Source organism: Homo sapiens, chromosome 15, assembly GCF_000001405.40.
Source record: "Homo sapiens chromosome 15, GRCh38.p14 Primary Assembly".
In the NCBI taxonomy this organism is placed as follows: Eukaryota; Metazoa; Chordata; class Mammalia; order Primates; family Hominidae; genus Homo; species Homo sapiens.
This window is the reverse complement of record NC_000015.10, coordinates 58,214,409-58,224,249: the sequence shown is the minus strand read 5'-3', so window position 1 is coordinate 58,224,249 and position 9,841 is coordinate 58,214,409. Positions and strand designations below refer to the sequence as shown.

General features: G+C 39.3%; 1 annotated feature.

Annotated features, from left to right (window-relative positions):
- Nucleotides 2,344-2,393: a silencer, noted in NCBI's record as "silent region_6478". NCBI's record gives its function as "represses an Ori minimal core promoter by ATAC-STARR-seq in GM12878 lymphoblastoid cells {active_cell/tissue: GM12878}" and the evidence as "EXISTENCE:reporter gene assay evidence [ECO:0000049][PMID:35858748]".

Sequence of the window (9,841 nt, the reverse complement as noted above, 5' to 3'; positions counted from 1 at the left end):
CTTCCTGGCCAATTCTGTGAGCCCCCAGGGGCCTTGACCACAGATGCTTTTTCTGCTTAAGTTAGTTGTATTGAGTTTCCATTGTTTGCAACCAAGAACACTGATGCATTTATTTAGCAAATTAATTAGCTCAGTGATTCACTTACTCAACATTGCCTGAGCACGACACTGCGTGAAGTAGGTCTTGTTGTTCTTCATTTTGTGGATGCAGGAGTGGAAGCTTAGAGAATTAGAATTTTGAAAATTCATATTACAATCTAGCTTTTGGTGTTAAAGTGGTGTTTGCTGTTTCTTTATCATTTTCCTGTAGTCAACAGAGTTAACATTTTGTCTCAAACCCTGGAGGATTTCAAAGCCTCATCACTGGGAAAATGCCCATGTTACAGACCCCAGCAGTCACCTACCCAGTTGGAGTTATTTATGCCTTTTGTCCAGAAGAACCTGGGCAGGGTTCCCAAAAGACCCTTCCTCTGTATAAACTGCATAGGCAGACCTGAGTATGAGGGGGCTTTTGGTGAGGCCTTTTTGGAACAGCACCCCTATAAGACTAAGTGTGTATGTGTATTGAGGGGAGGGGGGCAATGTTAGACGGTTGGCTCGCATAAATTCCATCTATTGCATCATTTTGAGCACGTGATTCTACCTAGAACCTGAAAGGAGGAATGATTTTACAAATCATTCAGTTCCACTGAAGCAAAAATAGTTTTCCTCTGGAACTTAATGCTAGGATAAATCTTTCTCCTCTTTCTAGAAAAAGAAAGAGAAAGGAGGATCAATCCTTTGCAAAAGACAAAACCTCCACTTCCCAAAGTCTTGGGGTAGGCCGCTGGAGATTCAGTGATTGTTTGATGATGCTGACTAATGTAGACAGCCAACTTGAGGCCATTCTTCCAGACCAAATGGCGTTGTTCTGTGTGACATGGATACTAAAAACCCTACCAGCTTTTTGAAGCCTTCTTGATAAGTATTTAGCAAATGAAGTCTACCTCAAACCCATGTTCTACATTGGACTTACAGAGATGTGTAGGGAGGGAGGTTAGATAAGGGCCACAAGTAAGTTTTCCTCTGGAGGAGAGACATGGCCTTTTTTGGAATCACAGGAGTTGCTGATGGACAAAGGGCAAGGGTTTTCCAGGGAGAGGCTACATTTTTAACAGTTCACAAATGGACTGTGCAACATTGTTCACCTTCTTAATCTGTCACTCTCTCTTTGCCTTTTTATGTGTACAGCTTTTGACTTGTTTTTGTGATTGGTGTTATTTTCTAATTCTACATTCCTTTTCCACTACAATTATTGCCACTTATCATCAGCTCCATCTTGTGGGGAAGTAATTTAGCCTGCTTCTCTGACAGTGATGTCATTTTTCAGCTCACACTGTGGGAAGGTGGAGCTGGCTCAGAGACTATGCTATGTAGGACTGAAACACCATCAGATTCCTCTCTTGATCATTATGTGTGGGCTTTATTTTTTCCTTGACAGATGAACTTTCTCTACTCAACAGGGATGTGGCCACCAGCAGCTTCCAGGCTCTTAACCTCGGAGCTTTGCTGCCAGACACGAAAAGATCTTTTCCCCTTAGTTCTAATCTTTAGTCACTGGAAGAGATACTGATTGGCTTGAATTGGGTTATGTGTTCAACCCTGGGCCAATCACTGATGCTAAAATATTTGCATGTAAAAAAGAGAAATACTCTGTTTTGGAACCCTTGTTTTAGTATTGAGATGCTGGGAAAAGAAATTGTTTCCCCAAAGAGGCCACTATTCCCAGGAGAAAGGAAAAGAGGCACTTGGCTAACAATAAATATTTACTGAGCACCTACTATGTGCTAGACAGTACATTTGGAAGCAGGAGACAGAGTAAGAACTGTTTTAAGAATATAAGCTTTTGGGGAAATTTACAGAAATCTTGCAGAAAGCTTTGAATTTCCACAGAGCGTGGACTAGGACTTCATATCAATTTTATCCAGATTCAAACGCTGAAGAGATTTTAGTGGATATTCTAGTTTGTTTTATTTAAAACACAATGTGTTGTGTTTTAAATACATTGTATTTTAAATAAAACTAGAATACTATCTTTGATGCCAAGTAACTTTAAAGATAGAGACGTTTTGCCCCAGGAGGAAATTTGAATAGTGGCCTCAGTGTTCTTAACACTTAAGGAAATTGATAAGGATCTGAAAGGCAATATGATACAGTGCAACTAGTAGATTTATTGTCAGAAGATTTGGTGTCAGTTTTTAATTCTACTAATAGTAAAATGGATGACTCTGGGGGGGTCTCAGGTTGGGCCCCAGGTGGCAGACCCTGAATTGGAGATCAAGGTTCAGGAGGATTAATAGGATTAATACCCTGAAGGAAGAAAGCAGGACTGGACAGAGGAGAAGTTGGGCTACGATGCTGTCACCACGGGGCTCAGCTAACCACATGGGGTCACTCTAGAGCTGTGGTGGCCCTACACAGCTGTCCTGAGTTGGGACAAGGTGACTGGACTGCACCCATGGTAGCCTGTCTTTGGATGCCAGCTGGGAGGGGTGGGATCTTTGTTGAGGCAGCTCTTCCCAACATAGGGCAATACCACAGCAGGGAGTGCCAGCAACATCTCTAGCAGCTGGGATTAGGCTTTTAGTCCTGAAGCAATCTGGGCAACACAATCCAGCATCCACTGCATGGGCCAAGTCATTTCCCCCTTCTCAGCCTCTGATTCTACAATTATAAAGTAGAAATATTGGCCCATTTGATCCTTAAGTCTATTTCCAACTTTAAAATCTTCTATTATAATGTCAGGCACTTACTGTCTTCCTGAAGTCTTATTTTGTGTTATTTTGTAATAAATATGCATTTAAAAATACCTGGTGAAATGTGAAAAAGAATGAGGAAAATCTCTATGAGTGGATTTGGAATAATTTTTAGGATATATTGTTAAATAAAAGAAGCAAGGTACAAAAAGCATATATTAGAATATCCTCTCTCCAAAAAGAAGGAAAAATTGTGTGTGTGTGTGTGTGTGTGTGTGTGTGTGTGTGTGTGTGTGTTTGCAGAAAGAAAGAAATACAAAAAGGATTATAAAACCTTTAAAGGGGAGGATTGGAACTGGGTTGGAGGGAACAGGGGTGGCAGTGTGTGAATGTCTTATATACTTGGAAAATTAAATATTAAAATTAAAAAGGATAGGAAGAAGCAAAATCTAAAATTGGAATACAGTTCACAAAATGAAGCTGTATATTGTTTTGATGAAATAACCACTCAATAAAATAGCAAACTGAATTCAACAGCACATCAAAAAGTTAATTCAGCCAGACACGGTGGCTCACGCCTGTAATCCCAGCACTGTGGGAGGCCAAGGTGGGCAGATCACCTGAGGTCAGAAGTTCGAGACCAGCCTGGCCAACATGGCGAAATCCCATCTCTACTAAAAATACACACACAGGCACACACACACACACACACAATTAGCCAGGCATGGTGGCAGGTGCCTGTAATCCCAGCTACTTGGGAGGCTGAGGCAGGAGAATCAGTGAGCCTGGGAGGCGGAGATTGCAGTGAGCCAAGATCATGCCATTGCACTTCAGCCTGGGCAACGAGAGTGAAACTCTGTCTCAAAAAGAAAAAAAAATTAATTCACCATGATCAAATAGGCTTCAATCCCGGGATACAAGATTGACTCAACATATGCAACTCAATAAATGTAATTCACCACATAAATAGAAATAAAAACCAAAAAATCACATGATCATCTCAATAGACACAGAAAAAGCTTTTAATAAAATCCAACATCCCTTTATGATAAAAACCTTCAAGAAACTAGATAATGAAGGAACATACCTCAAAATAATAAGAGCCATCTATGAGAAACACACAGCCAACATCACACTAAATAGCCAAAAACTGGAACAAGACAAGGATGCCCACTCTCACCACTCCTATCCAACATAGTACTGAAAGTGCTAGCCAAAGCAATCAGGCAAGAGAAAGAAAGAAAGGAAACACATCCAAATAGGAAAAGAAGTCAAACTATCTCTTTTTGTAGATGACAGGATTCTGTACCTAGAAAACCCCAAAGACTCTGCCAAAAGGCTGCTGGAACTGATAAATGGCTTCAGTAAAGTTTCAGGATGCAAAGTCAATGTAAAAAAATTATTAGCATTTCTACACATCAATAACATTCAAGTTGAGGGCCAAATCAAGAATGCAATCTCATTTGTAATAGCCACAGAAAAACAAAATACCTATGAACACATCTAACCAAGGAGGCAAAAGATCTCTATAAGGAGAACTACAAAACAAATCATAGATGACACAAACACATAGAAAAACATTCCATGGTCATGTATCAGAAGAATCAGTATCATTAAAATGGCCATACTGCCCAAAGCTATCTGCAGATTCAGTGCTATTCCCAACAAGCTATCAATGTCATTTTTCACACAACTAGGAAGCTTTTCTAAAATTCATATGGAACGAAAAAGAGCCTGAATAGCCAAAGCAATCCTACGCAAAAGGAATAAAGCTGGAGGCATCACATTATCCACCTTCAAACTATACTATAGGGCTACAATAACCAAAACAGCATGGTACTGGTACAAAAACAGACAATAAGCCAATGGAACAGAATAAAAAAACCCAGCAATAAAGCTGCACACCTACAGCCCTCCGATCTTCAACAAAATTGACAAAAATAAGCAGTGGGGAGAAGACTTCCTATTCAATAAATGGTGCTGGGATACCTGGCTAGCCATACGCAGAAGAATGAAACTGGATCCCTATTTTTTTTATCATATACAAAAATTAACTTAAGATGGATTAAAGATTTAAAGGTAAGACCTCAAACTATAAGAATCCTAGAAGAAAACCTAGGAAACACCATTCTGCACATGGGCCTTAGGAAAGAATTTATGACTAAGTCCTCAAAAGCAATTGCAACAAAAACAAAAATTGACAAGTGGGATATAATTAAAGAAAGAAACTATCGACAGAGTAAACAAACAGCCTACAGAATGGGAGAAAAATTTGCAAACTATGCATTTGGCAAAAGTCTAATATCTAGAATCTACAAGGAATTTACACAATTAAACAAGCAAAAAAACAAATAATCCCATTAAAAATAGGCAAAAGACATAAACAGACACTTCTCAAAAGTAAACATGTAAGCGGCCAACAAACATATGAAAAAATACTCCGTATTACAAATCATCAGAGAAATGCAAATCAAAGTCACAGATATTATCTCATACCATGCAGAATGGCTATTATTAAAAGTCAAAAACAACAAATGTTGGGAAGGCTGTGGGGAGAAGGGAACACTTATACACTGTTGATGGGAATGTAAATTAATTCAGCCACCATGGAAAGTGGTTTGGAGATTTCTCAAAGAACTTAGAACTATTATTTAACCCAACAATCTAATTACTGATTATATATCCAAAAGAAAACTAATCATTCTACCGAAAAGACACATGTACTCATGTGTTCCTCATAGCACTATTCACAGTATCCAAGAAATGGAATCAAGCTAGGTGCCCAGTGGTGGACTAGACAAAGAAAATGTGGTACATATATGCCATGAAATACTATGCAGCTATAACAAAATAATGAAATCATGTCTTTTGCGATATTATAGATGCAGCTGGAGGGCATTATCCTAAGCAAATTAACACAGGAGCAGAAAGCCAGATACTGCATATTTCCCATTTATAAGTGGGAGCTAAACACTGGATACTTGTGCACATAAAGATGGCAACAATATAAACTGGGGAGTACTAGAGGAGGCAGGGAGGGGAGAAGGGTTGAAAAATGAACTGTTGGATATTATGCTCAGTACTTGGGTGACAGGATCATTCATACCCCAAACCTTAGGATCACACAACATACCCAGGTAACAAACCTGCATATGTATCCGCTGAATCTAAAATAAAAGCTGAAAATAATAATAATGATGATAAATAAAAATTAAATAACCACACAGAAAAAATAATTGATTCAAATACATTTTGATATCAGGACTCTGGCTGACTATCCCTCAGTGGAATATATTCTAAGAAGAAGACTTTCAAAGGCAGCTAAAGCTTTATGTGGTATATTTATTGGTTTTTAGGAATGGTAGTATTTAATTTTAAACTGTTATATGACTATTATAATGATAAAGCAAATAGTAGGCGTAGTAACATTATTGGGAATCAAGACTTTACTGTAATGGAAAATAAAATTTGAAAATACAGTAAGTTGGCCTGGTGTGGTGGCTCACGCCTACTGGGAGGCCGAGGCGGGTGGATCATGAGGTCAGGAGTTTGAGACCAGCCTGGCCAATATGATGAAACCCGGTCTCTACTAAAAAATGCAAAAATTAGCTGGTTGTGGTGGCATGGACCTGTAGTCCCAGCTACTTGGGAGACTGAGGCAGGATAATTGCTTGAACCCAGGAGGCGGAAGTTGCAGTGAGCTGAGATTGCACTGAGCGAGACTCTGTCTCAAAAAAAAAAAAAAAGATAAAAAAAGTTTTACATTAAATTTGAATATATGAGTCTTGAGCACATATATTTCCTTGCTTTGCCCACTTGAATGGCCTAACAAGTAGTGACACCTAGCTGCAATGAACGTACTTACTGTCTAGATCTTGTTGTAAATACTACTCTCCATTGCAAAGGAACAGGACTCCTTGGAGAATGGTGATGTGGTTTGGATCTGTGACCCCACCCAAATCTCATGTCAAATTGTAATGCCCTGCTTTGGAGGTGGGACATGGTGAGAGGTGATTGGATCATGGGGGTGGATTTCTCATGAATGTTTTAGCGCCATCCCCCTGGTGCTGTTCTTGTGGTAGTGAATTCTTGTGAGATCTGGTTGTTTGAAAGCGTGTGGCACCTCCTCCCTCTCTCTCTCTCCTGCTCCACCTGTGCGAAGTGCCTGCTCCCCCTTCTGCTTCTGCCATGTTTATAAGTTTCCTGAGGCTGGGCAGATGCCAGTACCATGCTTCCTGTAAAACCTGTGGAACCGTGAGCCAATTAAACCTCTTTTCTTTATAAATTACCAGGTCTCAGGTATTTCTTTATAGAAATTCAAGAACAGACTAATACAAATGGCTTAATCCAGATCTGAGAAAAAAAATATAAAATGAATCAGAAACGTTTTATGGTGCCAGAAATCAAGGAGAAACTCAAAAACTAATATGTTCTTCTTTTTTTTTTTTTTTTTTTTTTTTTGAGACAGAGTCTCACTCTGTCACCCAGGCTCAAGTGCAGTGGCGTGATCTCGGCTCACTGCAAGCTCCGCCTCCTGGGTTCACGCCATTCTCCCAACTCGGCCTCCTGAGTAGCTGGGACTACAGGCGCCCGCCACCACACCCGGCTAATTTTTTGTATTTTTAGTAGAGACGGGGTTTCACCGTGTTAGCCAGGATTGTCTCGATCTCCTGACCTTGTGATCCGCCTGCCTCGGCCTCCCAAAATGCTGGGATTGTAGGCATGAGCCACCGCGCCCGGCCTAATACATTCTTATAAGAAGGATACAGGATTCATTTTGAAGGGCCTCCCTTTAGCCAAATTTGGGACAGTTTGAACATTAAAAAAACAAAGTAAGCAACTTTAACACATTAAATAAAAAAGAAATGTATGAGACCATGGTAATATGATGTAGAGAGAGAGGGAGAAAGAGAGAGAGACAGACAGAGAGAGAGAGAGAGAGTGAAAGTAGAGAAGAAACAGAATAAAAGGAAAGCTCATCTTTACAGAAGAATGTTAGCTAATAAATATGGGAAGAAGGATACAGTCCTAATACAATGATGGACTCAGGTAAGGATCTTTAATTGTTACTAAAACAGTTGGGTGACATTTTGGAGAAAAGTCAGTTCATATGGTACCAAAGTACTACCTCACAGACTACTGATGATAAAGGAGGGGAAAATGTACTTTTACTCTGTGGAGACCTCTGGCCATCACCACCTTAACCAAGGGATCAAACTTAGCATCACTTATACTGGGACGCTCTTATGACATTAAGTGGCTACCCTAGTATGATTCAACATTAAGTAACAAAATGGACAATGCAGTGTTCTTGCCAGAGATGTTTAACTTGAATCTAATCAACTTGCCAGACCTAATTTTCAGGGCACAGAAAATATAGGGATAGAGGAACAGATTACAAAACAAACACCAAGAGGAAACAATCAGCTTCATCTAGAATGTGTGGAACATTCTATGAAATAACTGGACTCCTTTAAAAAGTCAACGTAAATAAATTTTTAAAAAAGAAAAAGTATCTTTTTTAATATTTTAAAACAATAAAAGCTTTAAAAGGCTAAAAACACAAGTGCAAGAATTTGGCATAATTTTAGAAATATAAATATGAACTGAATATTAGGTCATATGGAATCATTGTCATTTTCTTAGATGTGATTATGATATTGTGGTTACATAGAAGAACCTCCTTATTCTTAGGCAATGCGTGGTGAAGTAGTGACTAAATGCCATGAATGTCTGCAACGTACTCTAAGTAATTTAACAAATAATAATATATATATTTTATTCCTCCTGTATTTCCTCTGTAGGTAGATAGATAGGTAGGTAGGTAGATAGGTAGATGGATAGATTGATAGACTGATAGATAGTCAGCAACAGAGACAAAGGAGGAAGCAAATAAGGTAAAATGTTAAAACTTGGTGAATCTAGGAGAAAGGCATATTGTTAGCTGAATTCCTTTATCTTTTCTATAGACTTGAAATTTTTCAAAATAAAAAGTTGAGGGAAAATGCCTGGCTATATAACATAAGACACAGGAGAGTCCTTGGGTTTTTATCTTATAAATTTTTCATTTTATGAATTGTAAAATTAAAATTCAAAGAGATTATAGAGCTTACTCAAGGCCACAGAGTTAGAACATAACAGAGCGCAGCCTCTGGTGTTATATTCACTGCTCTTTGCTCTCATGAAAATTAACCTCAGTTTTTATTTCCTTCTCATGCCACACTGGCTTTTCCCTATCTGAAGGACTGGGGGAGGCAGGGGCCTGAAGTTGATTGATCCCTGATACTCTCCTCAGGATCATGGTTGCTCCTTCTCATTAGGCCTGAGCTTGGGGACTACAGGAAGCCCTGCGCTCTCACGCTCCCTCTCACTCCATCTCCCACCTCGACTTCCTGGGCTACACTGTCTCACTGTTTCTTTAACACAGCACCACCCTCACTGACCTGGCCATGTCACTCCATCAGTCATGTTCCTTAATATTCTCGGGCTGATTTTTAAAAGGCTTCCTGGAATTATTGAAAACAATCACAACAACAGTAACTCAACACAATCATATCTTGGCCATGCTAATTGGAAACCTTAGTTTCAAATGAAAGGTTATACTCCGGGCAGTAACTTCTCCAATCTCCAACGGGGTAGTGCCTTCTGCAAAAGGGTAGCTTTAAACACACCAACCTATAAATTAAACCACCATGCTGAGTTTGCACGAGAACATTTTGCAAGGTAGTTAAACAATGAAAAGTAAGCGTGTTTCCTATTGGGTCCTTTTCCCCTCAAAGAAAGGGAACTAGTGGTGGAGATGCTCAATGGAAATCAAGCATAAATTAAGGGGCTTAAGCCTTCCTAGGTAGAGAAGTAAAAATAACCGAGAAATCCTCAAGGTTGGATTTAACTTTTCTGCTTTTTTTCTCCGAATCCGTCCTTCCCCCACCCCCTTTTTGTGTTTTCATTTAACATTGCATTTTCTTTTTCCTTTTCTGATGTACCTACAGTTTATTTTCCTTCTTTGACTGGAACAAAAGGATTTTTATTCTTAATGTGTGTTGGAAAGCTTGGTATAAAAAATTCTAGACAGTCAGCCCTGTCCCCCATCTAGCTGTTGCTTA